The sequence below is a fragment of the Homo sapiens genome, chromosome 17 (assembly GCF_000001405.40).
Source record: "Homo sapiens chromosome 17, GRCh38.p14 Primary Assembly".
NCBI classification, from domain to species: Eukaryota; Metazoa; Chordata; class Mammalia; order Primates; family Hominidae; genus Homo; species Homo sapiens.
Window position 1 is genome coordinate 32,589,050 of NC_000017.11, and position 25,634 is coordinate 32,614,683.

The window sequence follows — 25,634 nt, forward strand, 5'->3', positions numbered from 1 at the left end:
AACAATTTCCAAGTGTACAGTACAACAGTGTCATATTTGTGAACTGCATATTTGTGAACTGGTTTTTGACAAATTGGCCTGCTTTAGGTCACACAAAATCAACAAACGGCATACAGTCTGATGGCCACAAGGTGGCCGGCCTCGTGGGGAGGCAGACCTGGGGCTTGGATGTTTCAGGTCCTGCTTCACCTTGAGTCCTGCTGCTCCCCGTGGGTTCCCTATGCTCTACGCTGTTCTCTCTTACTGAACCCAACTTCTCACCTTTGGGAACGTGTTGAGCCACAGCTCCCAAATGTTTTGCCTTCATGCATAGAAGAGGCAATGAATTATAAGTCTTCTCTGATCCAAAGCCCAAAAATCTTGAGGGATGGGGAAAGTGGTCCGGGTTGGGTCAGATACTACCTGTGCCCTGTACTCAGCTCTTTCCAGGGAGTAGGGCAATGTAAGGATGTGGTGCCTCTCGTCGGACCATGCAGAAGTGTGACAGGGGAGAGGAAGGTCCCAGAAGAAGGGATTACTGGACAGACCAAACAATAAATGCCTCCACACCCAAGCTCCGCCTCCTCCTCAATTTAACATTTCCGTCATTCACACTGTCCCTTGAGAATCTTCTCTCCCTACGAACAGCTGTAGAACAGGAGGAAGCTTCTTTAACTTCGTGCTTCCTTGCTGACCCTGAAGGTAAAAATCTAGGTCCTTCTCATTCTAGGGATTTTTATTGCTAATTACTAAAGGGGTGGCAAAATAACAATTTCAGGGAAGCTACAAAAGCTAAAGAATTTTGTTATAGTTTTTACTCCATGAGGATTTTTGATTTCTGGTTTTATTACTGAGGTTTAACACCTGCCTTTGTAACTTCTATCTTGCTAGTTCTTTCTCTGTTCAATTAACTCTTTTTGGCATGTGGGGCCCACAGATGTATTACATATCAACTAGTGTTCCTCAAGTTCCCACTTCCCTTAAGTGAAAAATTATTTTGCATTCTTGAGCATGTATAGGCTAGGTGACATCTGTGTCTTCAGGCTTTGTCTTGTTGGGCAGTTTTATATTTTTATACTTACTTCTCCCCATTACTTATATGATAAAGTTCAAATTCATTGGCATGGGCTTTTATAAGCTTCTACTTATTTTTCCAGTCTCATTTCTTGCTACAGCCCCTTTGGTCCCCTGCAATCACTCAACTCTCCAAATGTACCAGCTCCACCAAGTTTTTGCATATTCTCCTCCCTTCTATGGGGAGCATCTCACCTCATCCCCCAGCTCATAACCTCCAACTAGACTTGAAGACCCAACTGGGTGATCATTTGCTCTGCCAGGGATCTCCTGACTCTGGTAGGCAAAGAGGGCTGGTTTATCCCCTGTGTTTCCATGGCCTTTGTCCATGGTTTTATTACAGTACATACCAGGCAGTATAATGTACATGCTGTCTTTTCATGGGATTAAGAGCTGTTTGAAGGGAAAGGACTGGAAAGGACCACAGGGTTCTTCTTGGTATCCCTCCTACCACCCGCAGCCTGACCTGTGATGGGTGCTTAGTGAATGCATGCTGAATGATGGTATAAAAATAGAACAGTGTTTGTGGCAGATAAAACACTTCACTGAGTATATTATGCTTATATAAACTCCTGATTCCAATATAGCTGCTAAGACCTGAAATAAACACATTAAGAGAGCTTTTTAAAAATTGCATTAAGTTAAAGAGTTATATCTGACATTCAATTTAGAAAAAAATTCCAACAGATAGCATGGTATTATTCACTAATCATTTGGTGAATTCATGAATACCTCACAGGAAGATCTCTGTTTTAACATATATTGTAAGGTTTAGAGCTACGGCCTTTAAAAAGTAATATGATTACTCTAAAGGTACAATAGCTACCTGCGGAAATGATGAAAAGATCAGTTTTCCAGTATTTTTGGATTCACTCTTTCAACATAAAAGACAATGATGAACACGTCACAAAGCAAATAAGAATCTTTGATTTGCACAAAAATCCCCAGAAAATCTCCCGTCATCAAGGCAGGTAAAGCTGAGGATGACTGTGCCCCTGCACAACCTCTTGGTGAGCTCTGCCCAAGGGCAGCCGCTTCTCAGTGCAGATGGGCACCGTGCACAGGGAGAGATGGAAAGTCAGTGGATTGCTCACAGTACACAACAGCTGTTACACTTTAACATTGTTTGATTTTTGCCCCAGCTTAGTCACACTGAAAACCTTTTAAGATTTCTCTCTGTACTCTTTTGTGTATAGCAGGTGGGACTGAGTGCATGTAAATAGGTTAAGTTCATTATGTGGAAGCCTGCTCTTTGCAGGTGGAGTTTCCTATCTGGAAGTGGGCAGGTGGGCCCTCACTGCGAACTTCTTAGGGTAATTAAAAACCATTGCTTAGAATGACAGGCGGCTCTTTCTAGGACAAGTGGATGTGGTAAACAGGATCCTGGTTCTGTGTGATTTCTCTGTAATCCTCCACTCAATTCTACTCTCCATTCCTTCTTTACCCCTTTTCTCTGAGCCTCAGCCCTCTTTCCATCCCGCCTTTCTTCACTGGGGCAGTAGGGGATGTTTCTTTTGCACTTGTCAGCAATTTCAAAAACACAAATCTTTGGTGATTTCATCAAAAAAAAAAACAAACCTACTTTCATCGCAATGGCATCAGCAAATTGGCCATATGAAAACATGATGTGCTCCTTCTGGTCATTTTCTATGTCAGTTCATGAAACCAGTGGCCATCAAGCTTGAGCATAGGGATCACCTGGGTAGCTCACTAAGCATGTAGGTTCCTGGAGGGTCTGATTTAGAGGGCCTGGGATGGGCCCGGGGAGCTGCCTTTTGAAAAAACACCTTCAGGTTATTCTAATGCCGATGGAGCCCACACTTTAAGGACCCCTGATAAAGAAAGACTGTCATAGTCTTTTTCATGGCTGCATGCTGCTTAATTGTATGGAAATACCATCAAGTATTTAATCATGTTTGTTTTGATGAACTTTTATATGGTTTCTAAGTTTTCGCAATTAAAAACAATGTGTTTTCTCTTTATTATATCTTGCACACCCTTATGTCAAGGGCTGACTCAATAATCACAGCAAGAGAGCCACTCTGCTATGTACAAAACCCTGACCCAGAAGCAGGTTGTCCAAGAATGGTTTAGCACCAGGTTCCCCAGGAATGTACATGGAATAATTTTATAGCCATCAAAAATCCCCAGTGCTTCACCTTTTTAACCCTCCCTCATCTCCAAACCCCTGGTAACCACAGGCTTTGCCATCTCTATAGTTTTACCTTTTCCAGAATGTCACATAAGTGGAATAATACAGTATGTAGGCCTCTCGGACTGTCTTCTTTCACTTAGCAACATGCACTTAAGATGGATGCATCAATGTTGTTGTGTAGAGTTATTAATTGTTCTTTTGGATTTATCCTTTATTTTACCTAATTCTTCTATGATTTCAGTTTTTACAATTAACTCTTTAGTCAATTTGGTATTTACACCAACAATAATTTTAACAAGCAAAAAATATAAATAAAATTATTTTATATGGTACTACAGTGGTGGATACATGACACTGCATTTGTCAAAATCCATATAGCACCTTAAAAATACCAACCAGGAGGGGAGGGGATGCCAGAATAAGATGGAACTGTGAGAAAACAATCTAGCTGTTACAAATGTTCGATATAACTTATGTAAAGTACAACAATGTAGGGGCAAGGAAAAAGACTTACTGACCTAAGTAATAACTCTGGAAATGACTGGAACCATAAAACTAAAAACAAATAAAACTGTATATACTGTATATAGCACTGAAAAAAACCCCAACAAAACAAAACAATGTGAAACCATTTGTTTTTCTTGCCCAGTACCGTATCACTTCCGCTTCTTTCGGGAAATGCTGGCCCCGTACACTTCGTCCCCAGTCACTCCCACCCCACTCTGCTTCACTCTCTTCCAAAACATGCTCTTCCTCAGGTTTTACTGGAGACTTCCATGTTCTTGGAAGACACCACTTCTCTGGCCAAAGTGACTGTCACTGGGGTAGGTGTCTTACCCATGCCATGACAACCATTACTCTGGCCAGTTATTGAGTCAGTGGGAACATTTCCCTGGGGTTTTAGGACAATAGCCCAGAGAACATTCTCTTAATTTCCCCCTGGTGGCAAGGCTGGAAAAGGAGATATAGAGTTATTTGGAGACATTTCCAGCCATGTGGAAGCCACCACTACAGGAGAGTGAACCTGGCAAGACAAGAGATGTGAAGATGAGAGATGGAGATTGTGACAGCATTTGACTCCTGGATCACAGCTGTTCCTCCTCCAGAGAGCCCCAGTAGCATGCTTTCTGAGGCTCGTTTGTCTGCTAAACACAAATGACAACTTGGTTGGGCATACAATTGTTGCTCTCTAAGCTTTTCTCCTTAGAAGACTAAAGATGTTGCTCCACAGGATTCTGGCATTTACTGCTGCAGTACAGAAGACGGAGGGAATCCTAATTTTTGTTCCTTTGTAAGAGAATCTCATTCCACTCCCAGGTCTGTGTGTTTAATACATACTTTATAATTTCAAGGATTAACTATAAACATAGTTATATATAAAGAAAAGTTATATATATTGGCTGGGCGTTGGGGCTCATGCCTGTAATCCCAGCACTTTGGGAAGTTGAGGCGGGAGGATCATGAGGTCAGGAGTTCGAGACCAGTCTGGCCAACATAGTGAAACCCCATCTCTACTAAAAGCACAAAAAATTAGCCGGGCGTGGTGGAGCATGCCTGTAATCCCAGCTACCTGGGAGGCTGAGGCAGGAAAATTGCATGAACCTGGCAGGCAGAGGTTGCAGTGAGCCGAGATGGTGCCATTGCACTCTAGCCCGGGTGACAGTGCGAGACTCCATCTCAAAAAAACAAAACAAAACCAGTTATATATATTAAAAGCAGACATCTATTCAGTCCTGGTGTTCTTACATAAAGGGGCATATGGACTCTTCGGGGCTCCTTCTTATAGCCCACTTCTTTGTAGCCAAAATCATTTCTCAGCTTTTAAGCTGGAGAATTACATATATTTAGTTAACCCTTGAAATTAAAAAAGGTCATCATGATAACAAAGTAGGCTCTCTGGAACTTCAGAAAAAGTGCATTCAGTACAGACATATTTTCTTTTTGTATGTTTTAAATTACCATATTTTATTGAATATAAGATGCCTTCTCTGTAAGATGTACCCTTATTTTGTATATTGCTAAGAAAGTTAACATGTTGCCCATTATAACAGTAAATTCTGCACACTGAGAGACTTCAAACTTTCCTTTCACATCAATTCTATTTTCTGCAATATCAACTGTGCCATTTTCAGATTTTAATGTTGATTTACATTTTAAAATATCTTTCCTTACTTCATTCAAATAATTGAACACTTTTGTTTGTTTCTCAGCCAGCATCCTCTTCATCTCAGTTTGCCATGTAATCTTGGGCCTGTTTATGTAGAATCTATGCTTTCTTGAATTTTATTCAGAGTATAAGCAGATGGTTTCTGTAACATAAATTTTATATTATTGGCCTTTTCAGAAATAGGCTTTTTCTTTTAGGTCTTATAATATCTATATCTCTCTTACTGTTAATATCTTCCTTTATAGGCCTCCCAACTAAGGAGACATCTATTCAGTTCTGATGTTCTTACATAAAGGGCATATGGATTTTTTGGGGCTCCTTCTTACAGCCCACCTGTTTGTAGCCAAAATCATTTATCAGTTTTTAAGCTGGAGAGCTGGCTTGTGTGCACAGACTCTAGTTGTGGTTGCAAAGTCTTCTACTTATTATGAAACTGCTGATCTGAGTAGGAATTCCTACATCCTGCTTCCTTGTCAGCTCACTGACAAGGAGAGTCTGAAATTATTTCTAGTTCTGTAGTTGTTAAAGAAAAGTGAATGGAAAGCTGCAGCCCCCAGCATTCAACATACTCATGGCTCTTCCAGCCCACAGCCCTTTTAGTTGCTGATTTAATATCTTGAAATGCCTCCTGCCTTCTGTCCCACACATATTACATTGCTTAGCCCTGTAATCCTGGAATCAATCAAGGAAAGAGACATTCATATGGTGGTATGAAGGCTGGCAAGTGGCAGGGATAGCCAGAAGTTGGTTAACGGATATAAAATTACAGCTAGAGAGGAGGAATGAGTTCTAGCATTCTCTAGCACTGCAGGGTGAATATAGAACCCTATTCTGTAATCTTATCTGTAATCGGTCACAATTAACAATTTATTGCATATTTTCAAATAGCTAGAAGAGAGGATTTTCAATATTCCTAATGAAAAGAAATGATAAATGTCTGAGGTGATAGATATGCTAATTACCTTGATTTGATCATTATACCTTGTATACAGGTATCAAAATATCACTGTATCCCATAAATATGTATAATCATTGTGTCAGAAAAATAACTTAAAAAAAGGAAAAGAGGTATTCATAAAGGGAAGGAAACTATCAGAAGAATTTTTCCTTTCTTTCATACAGGAGAAGGATTGAGTTACCATCTTCTGGTGGGCAAGGTGCACCTATCAGTAGGAAGGGCTAGAAGCACCCTACCGCGAGTGGGGCCTATCAGTCAGCAATTCTCTGTTTAACAATGAGTATTCAACAGTTATTTACAGGGAACCTTCTGTGTGCCAGCACTGTTTTGGGCACTAGGGAAACTGCAGGGAACAATATAAATAAAGTCTCTGCTTACATAAAGCTTGTATTCCAGTTGGAATATATACAATACACAAGTAAAGATACAGCATGTCAGGTGGAGTTGACAGCCATGGGGAAAGATTAGGGGGGTTTGGGGACAGGGTGTGGTGGGACAGGGTGAATTGCTATTCTCCAGAGGACAGTCAGGGAAGACCTGGTGAGACGATACATGAGCAGGGGTGAAGGATGCCCCTCTTGGCAGGTCCAGGATTGAATCACATTTCTAGTTTCCAGCACTACAGAAAGGTGTCCTTGCTTCCTGTGTTTTCACGTGTATCTCTATTGGAAGGCAGAGGAAAGTGAATTGTGGCCACTCACTTTTCTGTCCCCCATAAGTCAGGTGCCTTCAATAATTATTTTAAATAGCTCAAATACCCTAAATTTGATGGACCAAAATTTAATCAACCAGTCCTCCACAGCTGGCAATCGACATGGCATACCTTTATTTTGCTTATGGAATATAAACTATTAAAATGAGTGGCCAGGCATTCAAAGAGAGCAGTCTGGGAACATAGATCAAAGGCCATGGAAACGGGTATTCAGGTTTGGGGCAGAGGAGCCTCACTGCAGGTGCAGCAGAAGGCGTGAGCAGCAGCTCTGCTGGACGGGGAGGGCCAGGCGCTGGGACCTTTGGGAGGTGGCCCCATCCTCTGCCTCCTTCACCTCTTGTCATGAGGCCTCACCTCCCCTGGCTCCTCACCTGTACTGCCGCGGCAGTGACAGCAATGTGCAGCCAGCAACTGCTGGCCTGCTTATCGGTATGGGTCTCCCCATGGCTCTAAGTGTGAGTTATAAAGAACATACACAAACTACAACTGAGAAGCTGGTCGAATGTTCAGTTAAATCCAGTAACAGTGCTCCTTTAATTAAGGAGATATTAAAGAAGAACAAGAAGCAGATGGCATTGATTTCTGGCTTGCATCCACAGAAAGAGAACAGGAAAAATAAGAAATTTTAATGCCTGCAATTGGAGTTATACTGAGGTTTCCAGCATCCAGACAGGCAAATGCCTGGACAGCTGCTTAGGGCAGATGGGTCCTTTGACAGCTTAATACTGCAGAGTTTCTGGTGACTTCATAGTTAGGGCAGCCAACGTGAGACCATCTGTTTAGTAGTGGGCAGAAAAGCTCAGTACCAGCAGGTAGCTGCTGCTGAGAATGAAACGCAAACCAAAAGTCAGCCACACTCAAAACCTCTGTAAACCACTGGCACTACAACCACAGAAAAAGAAACCTCACCTTAGGCTAATGTGATATATACAACAAGACCATACAGAAAGATAATATTCCAAGAGGCTATATTTGGGATTGTTTCAATATATTGAAATGCTATGAGAGATTGTTCACTTGGACAGTTCTTCTGTTCTTTTCTACTTTTCTAAGCAGGAAAGCAAAATAATAATGAATTCAGAGAAAACTAGCTGCCACTTATTATTAAAATGAAAAAATTTTAGATCAGTAACACATATATTGGTCGCAGAAGGTTTAACCATGAAAAACAAATAAATCTCCCTTCTACCTCTTTCTCCCTGTACTGAGGTGTCTCAGTTCCCTCTCTAGAGACAAACACTGTTATCTATTTCCTGAATATCTTCCCAGATATAGCCTGTATTATACATAATCATATGTGTGTATACATATCTATCTGTACCTATATCTATACATTGTTTAGTAGGAGAAAAAGGCAAGGTACAGATGGTATGTGTAGCATATCACCATTTTTGTAAAAAAAAAAGTCATAGGAGATATCTATATATCTATCTATATAAATAGAGATATATCTACCTATAATATAGTTATCCAGTGATAGATACGGATATCTTCCGGTTTAACTTCTTGCCAGGTGCTTGTAATCCCAGCACTTTGGGAGGCTGAGGCGGGTGGATCACCTGAGGTCAGGAGTTTAAGACCAGCCTGGCCAAAATGGTGAAACCCCATCTCTACTAAAACTATAAAAATTAGCCATGTTGGCAGGTGCCTGTAATCCCAGCTACTCGGGAGGCTGAGGCAGGAGAATTGCTTGAACCTGGGAAGGTGGAGGTTGCAGTGAGCCAAGATTGTGCCACTGCACTCCAGCCTGGGTGACAGAGCAAAACCCTGTCTCAAAAAAAAAAAAAAAAAAAAAAAAGAAATCTCGTTTCAACTTCTTTACACAAATGGTGGTACGGTACACACACCATTCTGTACCTTGCCCTTTTTTCCTCTTATTTGGAAATGGTTTTATATCAATATAGATAGAATTCTCTTGTTCTTGTATTGGTAGCATTTACAATGAACAAAAGCATATTAATGACTCGGAGAGGTACTGCAGTAAAGAAACCTGTTAGGGCCAGGCACAGTGGCTCACGCTTGTAATCCCAGCACTTTGCGGGGCCAGGGCGGGTGGACTGCTTGAGGCCAGGAGTTCAAAACCAGCCTGGCCAACATGGCCAAATCCCATCTCTACTAAAAACACAAAAATTAGCTGGGCATGGTGACACACGCCTGCAATTCCAGCTACTCAGGAGCCTGAGGCACGAGAATTGCTTGAATACATGAAGCGGAGGTTGCAGTGAGCCAAGATTGCACCACTGCACTCCAGCCTGGGTGACACAGCAAGACTCTGTTTCAAAAAAGAAAAAAAAAGAAACCTGTTTGACTTCATTAGCATATCCCAAATGTATTTGACTTTGGGTTTTCCCACCCCATGGTGGAATTTTTGATTTGTGGAATACAGCCTGGACTTGCTGGTATCAGGTGTTTCTGGATGGTGTCTGTTCTGACTGGTCTGTGCTTGAGCCATACTGGTTGTTATATATTCTTAATGTCATCTTTTGGAATATACAGGCATAACCTGGAGATATTTTGGGTTTGGGTGCAGACCACTGCAATAAAGTGAATATCACAATAAAGCAAGTCACACAATTTTTTTTTGGTTTTCCAGTGCATATAAAAGTTATGTTTACATTATACTGTAGTCTATTAAGTTTACAATAGCATCATGTCTAAATACTGTACATATTTTAATTAAAAACAATAAGGAAAGTGTGATTTAAAAAGAACATAAGCAAACTATAACAGAGAAGCCGGTTGAATGTTCAGTTAAATCCAATGAGAGTGCTCCTTTAATTAAGCGGATATTAAAGAAGAACAAAAAATGCTAAAAATACTAATGATCATCTGAGTCTCCAGTGAGTTGTAATCTTTTTGCTGTTGGAGGGTCTTGTCTTGATGTTGACGGCTGCTTACTGATCAGGGTGGTGGTTGCTGATGGCGGGGGTGGCTGTGGCAATTTCTTTAAATAAGATAACCATGAAGTTTGCCACATTCATTGACTCTTGCTTTCATGAAAGATTTCTCTATAGCATGCGGTGCTGTTTGAGAGCATTTTACCCATAATAGGATGTCTTTCAAAATTGGAGTCAATCCTCTCAAACTCTGTCACTGCTTTATCAACTAAGTTTATATAATATTTTAGATGCTTTGTCATCATTTCAACAACGTTAACAGCATCTTCATCAGGTGTAGATTCCATCTTAAGAAACCACTTTCTCTGCTCTTCCATAAGAAGCTACTCCTCATCTATTCAAGTTTTATCATGAGATTGCAGCAATTCAGTCACATCTTCAGGCTCCACTTCCAATTCAAGTTCTCTTGCTATTTCTACCACATCTGCAATAACTTCCTCCAATGAAGTCCTGAACCCCTCAAAGCCATCCATGAGAGTTGGAATCAATGTTTTCCAAACTTCTGTTAGTGTTAATATTTTGACCTCCTCCCATGAATCACAAATGTTCTTAGTGGCATCTAGAATGGTGAATCCTTTTCAGAAGGTTTTCAGTTTACTTTGCCCAGATCCATCAGAGGAATCACTATTTATGGCAGCTGTGGCCTTATGAAATGTTTTTCTTTCATTTTGTTTTTTTTGAGACAGAGTCTCACTCTGTTGCCCATGCTGGAGTGCAGTGGTGTGATCTTGGCTCACTGCAACCTCCGCCTCCCAGGTTCAAGCAATTCTCCTATCTCAGCATCCCAAGTAGCTGGGATTACAGGTATGTGCCACCACGCCTGGCTAATTTTTGTATTTTTAGTAGAGACAGGGTTTCACCATGTTGGCCAGGCTGGTCTCAAACTCCTGACCTCAGGTGATCAGCCCACCTCGGCCTCCAAAAGTGTTGGGATTATAGGCGTGAGCCACTGTGCCTGGCCATGAAATGTGTTTCTTAAATAATCAGGCTTGAAAGTTGAAATTACTCCTTTATCCACGGGCTGCACAATAGATGCTGTGTTTGTAGGCATGGGAACAACATTAATCAAGCCTTGTACATTTCCGTCAGTGCTCTTGGATAACTAGATGTACTGTCAATGCATAGTAATGTTTTGAAAGGAATCTTTTTTTTCTGAGCAGCAGGTCTCAACAGTGGGCTTAAAATATTCAGCAAACTATGCTATAAACAGATGTGCTGTAATCCAGGCCTTGTGTTTCATTTATAGAGCACAGGCAGAGTAGATTTTGTGTAATTTTAAGGGCCCTGGGATTTTTGGAACAGTCAGTGAGCACTGGCTTCAACTTAAAGACACTAGCTGCATTAGCTCCTAACAAAAGAGTCAGCCTGTCCTCTGAAGCTAGGCATTGACCTTCTCCTCTCTAGCTACGGAAGTCCTAGATGGCATCTTCTTCCAGTGTAAGGCTATTTTGTCTGCATTGAAAAATCTGTTGTTTCGTGTAGCCACCTTAATCAATTATCTTAGCTAGATCTTCTGAATAACTTGCCACAGCTTCTCCATCATCACTTGCTGCTTCACCTTGCACTTTTATGTTATGGAGATGTCTTCTTTTCTTAATTCTCATGAACCAACCTCTGTTAGCTTCCACTTTTCGTCTGCAGCTTCCTCACCTCTCTCAGCCTTCAAAGAATTTAAGAGAGTTTAGGGCCTTGCTCTGCATTAGGCTTTGGTTTAAGGGAATGTTGTGGCTGGTTTGATCTTTTATCCAGACCACTCAAACTTTCTCCGTATCAGCAATAAGACTGTTTCACTTTCTTATTATTCATGTATTCACTGCAGTAGCACTTTTAATTTCCTTCAAGAACTTTTCCTTTGCATTCACAACTGGGCTGTTTAATTTAAGAGGCCCAGCTTTTGGCCTATCTCAGCTTTCAACCTGCGTTCCTCACTAAGCTTAATCATTTCTAGCTTTTTCTTTTCCCTTTTTTTTTTTTTTTTGAGACAAGGTCTTGTTCTGTCACCCAGGTTGAAGTGCAGTGGCACGATCATCGCTCACTGCAGCCTTGAATTCAGCCTCTTAAGTAGCTGGGACTACAGACTACAGGTGTGCACCACCATGCTTGACTAACTTTTAAATTTTTTTGTAGAGATGGAGTCTCACTATGTTGCGCAGACCTTGGTCTGGAACTCCTGGCCTCAAGCAATCCTCCCGCTTTAACTTCCCAAAGTGCTGGGGTCGCAGGAATGAGCCATGATACCTGGCTCATTTCTAGTTTTTAAAATAAACTGAGAGATGTGTAACTCTCCCATTCACTTGAACATTTAAAAGCCACTGTAGGGTTATTAACTGACCTAATTTCAATCTTGTTGTATCTCAGGGAATAGGGGAGCCTGAGGAGAGGAAGAGAGATGAGGGAATAGATGGTCAGTGGAGCAGTCAGAACGCACACGACATTGATCAGTTAAGTCTGTTGTCCTACATGGGTACAGTTTGTGGTGCCCTGAAATGATTACAGTAATAACAAAGATCACTGATCAAAGCCCACCATAGCAGTTAATAACAATATAAAGTTTTGAAATATTATGAGAATTATCAAAATTGCTGTGGCAATTTGTTAGCTCCTAACAAAAGAGTCAGCCTGTCCTTTGAAGCTAGGCATTGACCTTCTCCTCTCTAGCTATGAAAGTTCTAGATGGCATCTTCTTCCAGTGTCCAGAGACATAAAGTGAGCATATGCTGTAGGAAAAATGGTGCTAATAGACTTGATCAATGCAGGGTTGCCATAAACCTTCAATTTATAAAAACCACAATATCTGTGAAGTGTAATAATGTCAAGAACAGTAAGACGAGGTATACCTGTACTTTATTAAAGATTGTCTTCAAATGTTTTAGCAAACATAAAATATGTGGGTGTGTACTTGGAGAGGCAGAAATAATGGGTCTGGATTGAATAAAGACTGCAGGAGGTGAAAGAGAGACTAATTTATACTTAGTTGGTTTTTGTTTCAAGATTCATGTGAAAGGAAATGCCAGGAAAGTTCTGGCTTCAACTCATGGTGATGAGGAAAAATTTATTCGAGGACATGCTTTGTCTTGTTTTGTTTTCTTTTTAAATCATGGAATATCTCAAACATCAGTGTATTTTTCATCTAGAAGTTCGATTTGGGTCTTTTTCTTACATCTTCCTTATCTCTAGTTAACTTATAAACATCTGAAATCTAGTTATAATGACTTACAATGTCTGTATCTGCTAATTCTAGTATCTTTGTCTGTTCTGGGTTGGTTTCAAAGGGATGATTCTCCCCCTCATAATGGACTGTATTTTCCTATTTGCATGCCCGTAATCTTTGACTGGATGTCAGACATTGTGAATTTTACCTGTTGGGTATGGATATTTTTGTGTTTTTAGAAATATACATGAGCTTTGTTTCAGGACATAGCTAAGTTACTTGGAAGCAGTTTGATCCTTTTGGGTCTTGCTTTTAAGATTTATTAGGTGGTACCAGAGCAGCATTTATTCTAGGGCCAATTATTCCCCCCTACTGAGGCAAAACCCTTCTGAATACTGTACCCAATTACCCTGTGAATGACGAAGTTCTTTAGTCTGCCTTGTTAGATCAGAAACTACTCCTGGCTCTTTGTGAGGCTGGGCACTGTTCCCTCTGGTCCTCTTAGCTGGTTCTTGCCTCAGCCTTGGGAAGTTTTGAGCCCTTTCCTCCCAACTGCTGACAAGAACACATCTCAGAATGTACTTTAGGGAAATTATCTGGAAGATAAAGAATTGGTCTGAAGTTAATTCCCTCCCGAACCTTTGGATTTCCATAATTAACTCAGGGACAAATAAGATTATGTGCCACAACATCATGCTTATAAAATACAATGTGAATTTCAATGTCATGGCAATGATACGATAGTTGACAATAAAGGAAAATAGCTAGAAAAAATCAAATTAACCTTTTCCCAAAAAGTAAATAGTAAGTTGATGACTAAAACTCTAAGTCAAAATTTCAAGCCTGACTTTTCTGGGGTCTGGGAGGAAAGATTTTATCTCTCATTTCCACTTCACTCTTAATTCATAAGATAGAAACACCAAGAATTAAAAAAAAAAAATCCACCAAAAAATTCCTAGCATCTTGATAGTCTTCTCTTCACATTTATAAATTTTAAAGAAATTAAAAATCCTTACATACATTAAAGATAGAGGACATACGCCTAGAAATGTACCTCAGCATGCATATGCTAGCTAGGAAAAGAAAGCAACTGATGAAATCTACATCCAGGTTCACGTATTTCTGTCACTTGTAGAAGGCACTTAATAGATCAGAATTTGCTAAATAAGCACCCAGATAGAGATAAAATACTTCAATCTCCCAGGCAAAAACTCTTGCATTCATTAGTACTGGTATCCAAATTAAGAGTAACAAATTAAAATTCCTTTAATTTTCTATACTTTGCTATAAATATTAGCAGGAAAATAAGCTTGCTTATTTGAGTTATAGACATTTATTGCAGAGATGCCTTCTTTATGTCTTTTCCTTACATTCTAAACTTTTTTTTTTTTTTTTTTTTTTGAGACAGAGTCTCCTTCTGTTGCCCAGGTTGGAGTGAAGTGGCGGGATCTTGGCTCACAGCAAGCTCCGCCTCCCAGGTTCACGCCATTCTCCTGCCTCAGCCTCCTGAGTAGCTGGGACTACAGGTGCCCGCCACCAAGCCCAGCTAATTTTTTGTATTTTTAGTAGAGACGGGGTTTCACTGTGTTACCCAGGATGGTCTCGATCTGCTGACCTCGTGATCCGCCCGCCTCAGCCTCCCAAAGTGCTGGGATTACAGGCGTGAGCCACTGCGCCTGGCCACATTCTAAACTTTTTAAAATTTTTCTTAGCTTTACATTTATTTGGCAGATGGAAAGGAATTTTCAAAAGTCTATGCATTTATTATTATTTTTGGTAATTACTTTCTTATTTTTTCCCCACAAATGACCATTAAGTATTATTTTACTTACAGCATGTAAAAGCATTTAATGATAGAAAATATTTAAAGATCTACTTTGATCTAGAATGTAAGGTGTAATAACATAAAATAAATGGTCTGTGCAGCCCACCTCTAAAATTATGCTCTATACATTTATCAGCCAAAATGAATACAATAGAATTAGATATGTGGACATCTGATTCCAAATATGTGTTTGTTGAGAGAAAGAGAAGCCACGTCTAAACTGAAAAAAAAAAACATACTAATAAGGAATACTTGATTAATTTTAGGAACTCAGGAAATGTCTTTTAGGAAGAAAAAGTAACTACACTTGTATCATTTCTTAGTCACTGATTTTGATGAGTGGTCTTCTCCCAGCATCAGGTGGGGTTGGGGAGGTGAAGGCAGCATGCCACAAAGAGAGCACTTGACTTTGGAGAGATACACCCACCCAAATACTCCATGACCCCTTATGGGAAGAGAAATCCAATCTCTGAAACAACTCCAATAAATAACCAGACAAAATCACTCCCCTGCTTAAAATTATCCATTCACTGGTCCCCATCACTCTCAGGACCTGCTCTCTGTTTATATTTATTATATCATTGTTCACCCCCCTGCCCCAGGTATCATCAGGGCTTACTATGAAGTTCTCAGATTATGCCATGTTCCATCATGACTCCATGTTTCTGCAGTGGTCACTGCCTCTCTCAGGAATTCTTGTAGTCTTCATGGACTTGCAAACCATCCCAAATCTGCCTTCTAATTTGCTTATGGTCATAGTGGACACACAAACTGATTATACTTGGGGTAAATGAGAAGCTATGACGAGAAGAATATAAAGTAATTTGTCTATCTTTTGGATTTAATTGCATTTGGATCGACAGTGGAATAAAAATCACCATTTAGGGAAATCTCTCATTGTTGGTTCAGCTGGAGGCTGGAAAAGTAGAGGATCATTCCTAACCTTGAAAGTAAGCTGGGATGCTAATTTTACCTTCTGCGAAACAGATGATTTAAGTTGTCCTTATGGAGAAAAATAGCTCAATACATTAAAATTGGCACAAAACAAGCTCAGTGATAATTACGATTAAAGATTTCATAGATTTAAAACGTGTCTTAGTTACAAAAATCAAACTTTACCTCTTGAAATGATTCACCAGCACTCCAACAAGTTCTCCAATTCGACTCTCATGGGTTGGCTGTTTGCTGAAGAGGCAGACAATGAGGTCTTTGTTGTCTTTCGTATGGAACACTACAAGTTGGTCCTTTCCATTGGAGACACTCAGACCAGTCAACTGCAAAGAGAAAATGCATGGAAAACTATTTGGATCATTCTCAAAAGAATGAATTAAAAAATACATTTTGGAGCTGGGCATGGTGGCATGTGCCTGTAGTCCCAGCTACTTGGGAGGCTGATACAGGATGATCATTTGAGCCCTGGAGTTTGAATCCAGCCTGGACAACATAACGAGACACCATCCCTAAAAACAACAAAACACGTCATACATTTTCTAAGGGTTTTGCTCAGTGACCCCCTGACTTTAATCTTCTATCAGTTTCACGGAACAAGCAGATGGAAGGAAATAATAAAGAGCAGAAATGAACAAAATTTGAAATAGAAAAACAATACAGAAAAATTAATGAAACAGGGATGGTTCTTTCAGAAGATCAATAAAATTGATAAACCTCTAGCCCAAAACAAAAAAAGAAGGAAGAACTTATTGCCAATATCAGGAATGGAAGAGGGGCCATCTCTATAGACCACACAGACATTAAAAGGATAATATTAAAATATTTGGACCAATTCTATACAAAAACTTATTCAACAACTTAGTTAAAACCAAATAATTCTGGCAGGGTGCAGTGGCTCACACCTGTAATCCTAGCACTTTGGGAGGCCAAGGCGGGCGGATTGCCTGAGCTCAGGAGTTCGAGACCAGCCTTGGCAACATGGTGAAACCCCATCTCTACTGAAATACAAAAAAAAAAACACACAAAAAAACATTAGCCGGGCATGGAGGCGTGCGCCTGTAGTCCCAGCTACTTGGGGGGCTGAGGCAGGAGAACTGTTTGAACCCAGGAGGCAGAGGTTGCCGTGAGCTGAGATCATGCCACTGTACTCCACTCCAGCCTGGTGACAGAGTGAGACTCCATCTCAACAACAACAACAAATAATTATTTAAGAGTCACAAAATACTAAAACTCTCCAAGAAGAAATAACTTGAATAATTCTGTATCTGTTGAAGAAATTAGATTTATATTTAAAAACATTTTGAAAAAGAAAATTCTAGTCCCAGATGATTTCAATAGTGAATTCCACCAAACATTTAAAGAAGAAATAACACCAATTCACCATATTTCTTCTAGAAAATAGGAGAGAAGGGAACACTTCCTAACTCACTTTGAAGCTGGCATTATTCTGATATCAAAAATAAACACAACAGTACAAGAAAACTACAAACTGATATCCTTCATCAACACGGATGTAAAAATGGATGTCAAGAAAATATTAGCAAATTAAATCCAACAATACATAAAAATGATAATACAACATGACCAAGTGGAGTTTATCTAAGAAATGCAAGGCTAGTTAGGTATTCAAAAATTAATCAAGGTAATGACAGAATAAAATGACAGGATAACAAAGAAAATCCACAGATTGTATCAAGTGACACAGAAAAAGTACTTGACAAAATTCAACATCTATCCATGATAAAAATTTCTCAGCAAACCAGGATTATAAGGGAACTTAACCTGATAAAATGACATATACAACATGCCACAGCTAACATCATACTTGGTGAAGAAGGACTGAATGTTTTCCCTTAAGATCGGGAGCAATGCAAGGATTTCCACTGTCACTGCAGCTATGCAACATTATACTGGAAGCCCTAGCCAGTGCAGTAAGGCAGGTTAAATAAATTAAAAAGCGGCTGGGTGTGGTGGCTCACGCCTGTAATCCCAGCACTTTGGGAGGCTGAGGTGGGTGGATCACTTGAGGTCAGGGGTTCGAGACCAGCCTGACCAATATGGTGAAACCCTGTATCTACTAAAAATACAAAAATTAGCCAGGTGTGGTGGCAGGCGCCTGTAATCCCAGCTACTCAGGAGGCTGAGGCAGGAGAATCGTGTGAACCCGGGAGGCGGAGGTTGCAGTGAGTTGAGATCGCGTCACTGCACTTCAGCCTGGGCAACAGAGCGAGACTCCATCTCAAAGAAAAAAAAAATTAAAAAGCATACAGATTGAAAAGGAAGAAACACATGTCTCTGTTTTCAGATTACATGATTGCCTACATAGAAAATGCCAAGGATCCACAAAATAGCTCCCAGAACTAATAAGCGCATCTAGTAAGGTCAAAGGATACAAGGCTGACATACAAAAATATTTCTATATTAGCAATGAAAAATTTGAAACAAAAATTGAAAAACAAAACCATCTATAACAACTCCAAAAACAAAAATACTTAGATATAAATCTAACAAAACATCTATCTGTAGGACCTACATGTTGAAAACTACAAAATGTTGAACAAGTTAAATTAAAAGGCTGATGAAAGGAATAAAAGAAAACCTAAATAAATGAAGGAAAATAATATCCTCATGGACTAGAAAACCCAAATTCTTAAGATACCAATTTTTCCCATATTAATCTATAGATTTAATGAAATCCCAACCAAAATCCCAGCAAGATTTTTTGTAGGTATCAACAAGCAGATTCTGAAATATGTATGGAAAAGCAAAAGAACTAGAATAGCCATAACAGTTTTGTAAATGAAGAATAAAGTTGGAGGGCTCATAGAGGCTGATTTTAATGCTTAGTATAAAGCTAGGTTAATCAAGACAATAATTTAGAAAGGAAAAAAAAAACATAGATCAGAAACAGACTCACGTGAATATGGCCAATAATTTTTTCACCAGGGTGCAAAGACAGCTCAATGAAGAAAGGATAATGTGGGCATCTGGATAACTTGGAACATTTGGACACCCCCATGCAAACGGAAATAAAAGTCTACCTAAATCTCACATCTCGTAAACAATTCAGAGTGCACTATAAGATCGAAATGCAAAATGTAAAACTAGAAAACTTTTAGGAGAAAACATAGAAGAAAATCTTTGTGACCTTGGGCTGGCAAATATTTCTTAGAAATGATACCAAAAGCACAATCCATAAAGCAAAAAAATTGATAAATTGAACTTGATCAAATTTAAAACTTTTGCTCTAAGGAAGACACTGGTGGGAGAGTGAAAAGACTAGCCACAGACTGGTAGAAAATATTTGCAAAAATGTATCTGATAAAGGACTTGTATTTAGAATCTATAAAGAGCTCTTAAAACTTGATAGTAAACAACTCAATTAAAAATGATGGATAAAAGATTTGAAATCACTTCACCAAAGAAGGCATAGGGGTGAATAAGCACATGAAAGGGTGCTCAACATCAGCAGCCATTAGGGAAATGCAAACTAAAACTGCAATGGGAACCACTGCAAACCCATCAGAATGGCTAAAATAACAAAACAGCCTACAACAACAAAAGAGTGATAATACTAAATGCTGGTGAGGACACAGAACAAGTGGGACTCACATGCATCATTGGTGAAAATACAAAATGTAAAATGTTACAGCCACTGTGGAAACAGTGGTTGTTAACTCAAAAAATTAAATGGAAAATTACCACATGAGCCAGCAATCTCACTCCTAGGCACATATCCTAGAGAAATAAAAACTTAGCTTCACATGAAAATTTATACATGAATGTTTACAGCAGCTCTACTAATAATTGACAAAAGCTGGAAACGACCCAAATATCCAGCAGCATGTGCACGGATAAACAAACTGTGGTACATTTAAATAATGGAACGCTACTCAGCAATGAACAAACTAATGATACAGATTACTGACATGCAACAACATAGATAAATCTCACAGGCATTATGGTTGAATGAAAGCAGCCAGTCTCAAAAGGTTACAGCCTGTGTGACGCCATTTATATGATATTCTCTAGAAGATAAAAGGATAAGGATGGACAACAGATCAGTAGCTGCCAGGGTTTGGGGTTATGAGGAGTCCGATACAAGGGAGTTTTTGGGGTATGGAACTACTCTGTATCCTGACTGTGGCAGTGGTTACACAAATTTACGCCCATACTAAGACTCAAGAGACCTGTACACCACCACCCATGCACGTAAATTATATTCATTGCCTATAAATTTAAAAAATTGCACACCCTGGCTGTTTTGATCTCTAGATATTCTACTTTGGTCAATAAAGCAGAAGTCAGAGTGATTTCCTCATTCTGTGGTCTGTTCTTCTATTGCATAAAATACCGAAGTGCCACCTCCTGGCTACCACAGGTGCTATCAGCCAGGCGGGCAGGCAGCATGAACAAGGCAACCACTGGGGGATGGCGCAGTGCCACACGGCCTGTGGTAGGGACAGACGTGCAGAAGATGCTGAGAATGTGATCCCTGTTCTTGGGGGATTCACAATCCAGTTGGATCAGAGGAAGAGGTAAGTATTAAATAACTGAAGAAAAACACCTTAACAATTTACAGATTTGCAGTGTCACTTAGTTCCATGCCTATGTTTTACAGATAGAAATTGAGACTGAAGGAGTTCAGCCCGTCTGCAGGCCCGGGAACTAGAACTCAGACCTGCAGACTGATGGGGACTCATGTTCTTTCCATCACACCAGGTTTTTCAAGTATCATGTATAAATGAACATAGAATATTTATATATTCTATAAATAAGTATTCCCATGAATACATTTTCATAGGAGGTGAGTTCTTGGGTTGATTTTAAAGAATGCCAGGGTCAGGGCTTAATGGAGAGAAGGGAAAATATTAAAGAAATTGGAAATCATTCACCAACCAATGTGGATCGTGGGCTTTCTGAGGCCATTGGTAAGAGAATATAGCAAACTCTCTGCCACTTACATGTACTGGATCCAGATGATTTTTATATGATTAAATTAAAAATATCATTTTCATTTTAAAAAAACATTTTATGTCTATCACGCTTCACTCTCATTTCATTATTTTATATGTGAAATTCAAAATTGAATTGATGTAGCACTTCACAGGAGAGCTTGATTAAAGCCTAAAGAAATGAGAATGGTAACAGCAGTAACTCTGCCAGCATATCCCAGGAGCATTAGCTGCAGGGGTTCAGGGAAAAGAGACAGATTCGGCAAAGAACGCTGAAACCACAGGGATAGAGGATCCCTTCCTAGGTGCTACCTGGACCAGAGGACAGGAGCCAATGACTCTGCTCTCGGCCACAACCCCCTCTCAGCGGGTGGGCTTCTCTCCCTCCCCTTCTCTCTCCCTTGCTGTCTAGGTGGCTTTATCTGCTGTGGATGGGAATTCTTCATGTGTACGCCCAGGCCTAGTGGTGTGTCAGTCTCAGAAGAAATGAGGGAAAACAGTACTTAAGTTGCTCTGCTACACAAATAATGAAAGATTAAGTCCCTATTGTTGCCAAAGCAGGACAAACAGCACCCAGAACGTCCCCTTTAGTTCTGGAAGAAAGGATGGTAAGTGGGGATTAGTGTACTAAGGATGACCTGGGTGTTAATCCCAATTCAGCCATGTGATCTTGAGTGACTCATTTAATTTATTGGGGCATCTGTCTCCTTTTCTGCAAAATAAGGATAACATCAGGTGCCTTGTCTACCTTGCAGGGTTGTGGTAAGGATCAAATAGTAGCAACTCTGGAGTACAAAAAGTAAATAAGCAAAAAAACCCTCTGTCTTCGAGGGTCTTACACTCTAAGTGAAAATAAGTCAGCAAAACTTTATCACTGAAAATATAATTTTAAAACCTTACAACACCATGCAAATGGAAGGTATTTTGTGAAACACCTCAGCTGGGGAAGGGGTCACTACCTCATTGCATTTGGGCAGCCATAACACATAGATGCGTTTCTCCGAACAAAAGGGAAACTCCTTATCAAGGCTCCCCCTGCCCCTGTTGCTTCCTTATTTCTCCTAATCTATGAGATTTCTATGCTATGATAAATCTAAGCCTTCCCCTTCTTTGGCCTTGAAGATTTGAACAGGGCAAAAAGAGTCTCTGATTGCAACCCATTTCAATTCTCCCAGCCTCTCCTTACTAAGAAGGACCAAACAGTGAACACAACTAGATAGGTAAAGAGCTGAGCAGTTCTGGAAGAGGAGGCCGGCCTGAGAAATCAGAGCAGATGTCCTCTCCTCCTCTGCAATGGAATGAGCGCTAGAGAGCAGAGCTCACTATACAAGAAAATCTCTAATCCATATTCTCATTTACGAAATCAGCGCAAAACAGACCGATATTAGAAAGAGAAATAATTCGAAAAGACAAATATGATAAATTACATACACAATGGAAGCAGTAACTGAATAGATACTTTAGAAAATTAAAGAATAATAGAAGAAAACATCCCAGTCTTTAGACAGAAAGGAATCACAGGTACCAGCCAAACTTAGAGGATCTTCTGGATGTGTAGCCCAGAGAAGTTTTAGACCTGTAGAATAAAGGAAAAAATCTTCAAGTACCTAGGCATACAAAAATAAGTTATCTACACAGGAAAATAAAATTCAGGTTTATATCCTTTTTTAAAACAGAAAACTTGGCCAAGTGTGGTGGCTTACACCAGTAACCTCGACACTTTGGGAGGCCAAGACGGGAGGATCACTTGAGGTCAGGAGTTTGAGACTGGCCTGGCCAACACGGTGAAACCCCGTCTCTACTAAAAATACAAAAATTAGCTGGTTGTGGTGGAGGGTGCCTATAGTCCCAGCTAATCAGGAGGCTGGGGCAGGAGAATCACTTGTATCTGGGAGGCAGAGGTTGCAGTGAGCCGAGATCATGCCACTGCCCTCCAGCCTGGGCACTGAAGCGAGACTCCGTCTCAAAAACAAAAAGAAAACTCTATTAATTTTGTCACAATTCACAGGAGGAGATAAGTAAATCCATTTTATTCTTGATATCAATTAGGAAAGATCAGCTCAAATATTTAACAGTAATCATTAAGATGAAAAAGGATGTGTAAGGTTCTAACCAGTAGTAAAAAGAGAATAAATAAAACTTGACCAATGCAGCAACAGAAAAAAGAATGAAATAGCGTGGGAGCATAAAAAATAGAAAGCATTTAAATAACACGATTGAATTTAAGAAAAGTTTTTTTGCCAGTTGCTGTAAGAAATGTGAACAGGATACAACTCCTTTATTGGAGGACGAGGGGTTATAGATTTAAGCAAAAAACAAAAATATACCCTGTTTATAAAATTAATTAAGATAAAAGTAGAAGTTTATGAATGAGAACAACATACATAATAAATTAAAGAGCTGGTTCTTTGAACAGACCAAACCCTTGGCAGAGTCTCACCAAGGAAAAAACAGGCAAAACCGCAAATATTTAACATTAGGAATGAGAAAGGGATTTAAGAAAGGGTGTGTTGACTTTCAAAATTATAAGAGGCCAAGAGCAGTTGCTCAAGCCTCTAATCCCAGCACTTTGGGAGACTGAGACAGGAGGATCACTTGAGGCCGGGAGTTCATGACCAGCCTGGGCAACATAGCAAAAACCCCAGCTAAAAAAAAAATTAGCTGGAGCTGGATGTGGTGGTGCGTGCCTGTAGTCCCAGCTACTCAGGAGGCTGAGGCAGGAGGATTGCTTGAGCCTAGGAGTTTGAGGTTACAGTGAGCTGATCACGCCACTGCACTCCAGCCTGGGTGACAGAGTGAGACCCATCTCAAAAAAAAAAAAACAAAAAAAAAAAAAAAAGAAGAAGAAGAAATTAGAAGAGAAAAACTTTTGTAATTGTAATTTCATATTAATGAAATGCATATTTTTTTTTAAAGATGTGGTCTAGCTGTCTTGCCCAGGCTGGAGTGCAGTGGCACGATCTCGGCTCACTGCAGCCTCTACCTCCCAGGCTCAAGCAATCTTCCCACCCCAGCCTCCCATGCAGCTGGGACCACAGGAGCACGTCACCACACCCGGCTAGTTTTTGTATTTTCAGTAGAGACAGGGTTTTGTCATGTTGCCCAGGCTGTCATGAATTCCTAAGCTCAAGTGATCCTCCCACCTTGGCCTCCCAAAGTGCTGGGATTACAGGTGTAAGCCACTGCACCAGGCCTGAAATGCATGATTTTATAGGAAAATATAAATTAGTAAAATTGACTTAAAGAAAGATAAAACAATTAATTTCTATTTATAACTAGCAAAAAGTTTTTTTTTAGATTATCAGAAAAATACTCTTCTAGTTCTTACTAGGCACAGGTTATGTTATAGGCCCAGGTAATTTCTATCATACTTAAATGCTCTACAATATGGAAAAAGAGAAAAATCATACTGACTCATTTTATTTATCCTGCTAGCAAAACCTGCTGAATCTCTCTCTCATACACAAAAACAAACACACCCAGAAATCAATGTAACGTACAAATACAGATGCAAAATCCAAAATAATTAACAAACTGGATGCAACAAGATAAACACCATGACCATGAGCGTATATTCACAAGGGTAAGGGTGGTTCACTAGTAAGAAATACCTCAATATAGGCCAGGTGCAGTGGCTCACGCCTGTAATCCCAGCACTTTTGGAGGCCGAGGTGGGCAGATCACGAGGTCAGGAGATCAAGATCATCCTAGCCAACATGGTGAAACTCTGTCTCTACTAAAAATACAAAAATTAGCTGTGCGTGGTGGTGCGTGCCTGTAATCCCAGCTACTCGGGGGGCTGAGGCAGGAGAATCGCATGAACCAGGAAGGCAGAGATTGCAGTGAGCCGAAATAGTGCCACTGCACTCCAGCACTCCAGCACTCCAGCCTGGGCGACAGAGCAAGATTCCATCTCAAAAAAAAAAAAAAAAAAAAAAAAAGAAATACCTCAATATAACTCAGTTTATTTATTAATAGTTCACATTTATGTATTATCCGTGTGCTTGTCCAACCAGAATGATCTCCTTGGGGTCAGGCTCGCTGGCTTTCACTTTTTTCAGCCAAGTATGAAGTTTTGCATTTGTATTGTTTTTATTTTACAGTATACCATGGTATATAAAACAATACTTCATTTTACAGTAAGATGGTAAATACTCAAATGTATTTATTGCTATTTCATCACTATAATAATGTTTTAATTTTTTTTTTTTTTTTTTTTTTAACTCTGGAGCATCTTTGTTCCAAACTTCCTCCCAGTAGCAGCTGTTCCACAATCTTCTGTCCTGGAGAATCTCTCCTCTTCTTTGGTTACTGCTCTCTACATACACCTCTAAGGGACTTCATTCTTGGTATTCCCCCCACCTCCCTGCCCTTCCATGCCCCCGCCCCCCACACCCCGTCCAAAGCTATGCCTGACACACAAAGAACTTTCATGAAATTGTAGCGGTCACTTAATTTCTGCAGGTGTTTGCTCGTATTTTGACACAGACACTTGGGTTTTTGGATGTACTATTCAACTTCTGTTCTTTGATTAGACTGCAGAGATAATGCTTATGTTCTTTTGATCTCAATTAACAAATTGATTTGGCTGCTCTTTGATGGAGAACATTCTGTTCATTCTGTTTTCCATTCAGAAACTTGGGAGACAGTTTGCTCTGGCTTTTTGCAGGACACCTGGTGACTTTCTTTTCACCTTTCTCTGTTCTGTTCATCTGTCTCTCCTAATCTCCCTCCTTCTCCCTTCCCAGTCCCCCACATCTTGTTCCCTCCTTACTCCTCAACTAGCTATAACTCAGGAAGCTCAGCTGTG

General features: G+C 40.0%; 1 protein-coding gene across 5 annotated transcripts in view; it reads right to left on the reverse strand.

The window, feature by feature from the left end:
- MYO1D (myosin ID) overlaps window positions 1-25,634 on the reverse strand; it is a 384,603-nt gene that overhangs the window by 96,528 nt on the left and 262,441 nt on the right. For 2 of the 5 annotated variants that reach the window (NM_015194.3, NM_001411088.1), the window contains one exon: window positions 16,038-16,192. In NM_015194.3, the coding sequence (NP_056009.1) occupies window positions 16,038-16,192 (155 nt within the window). Of the gene's footprint in view, window positions 1-5,152; window positions 5,518-12,211; window positions 12,314-12,767; window positions 13,690-16,037; window positions 16,193-25,634 lie in introns of those variants that run through there. The other 3 variants (XR_001752521.3, NM_001303279.2, XM_017024685.3) reach the window with 3 other exon arrangements.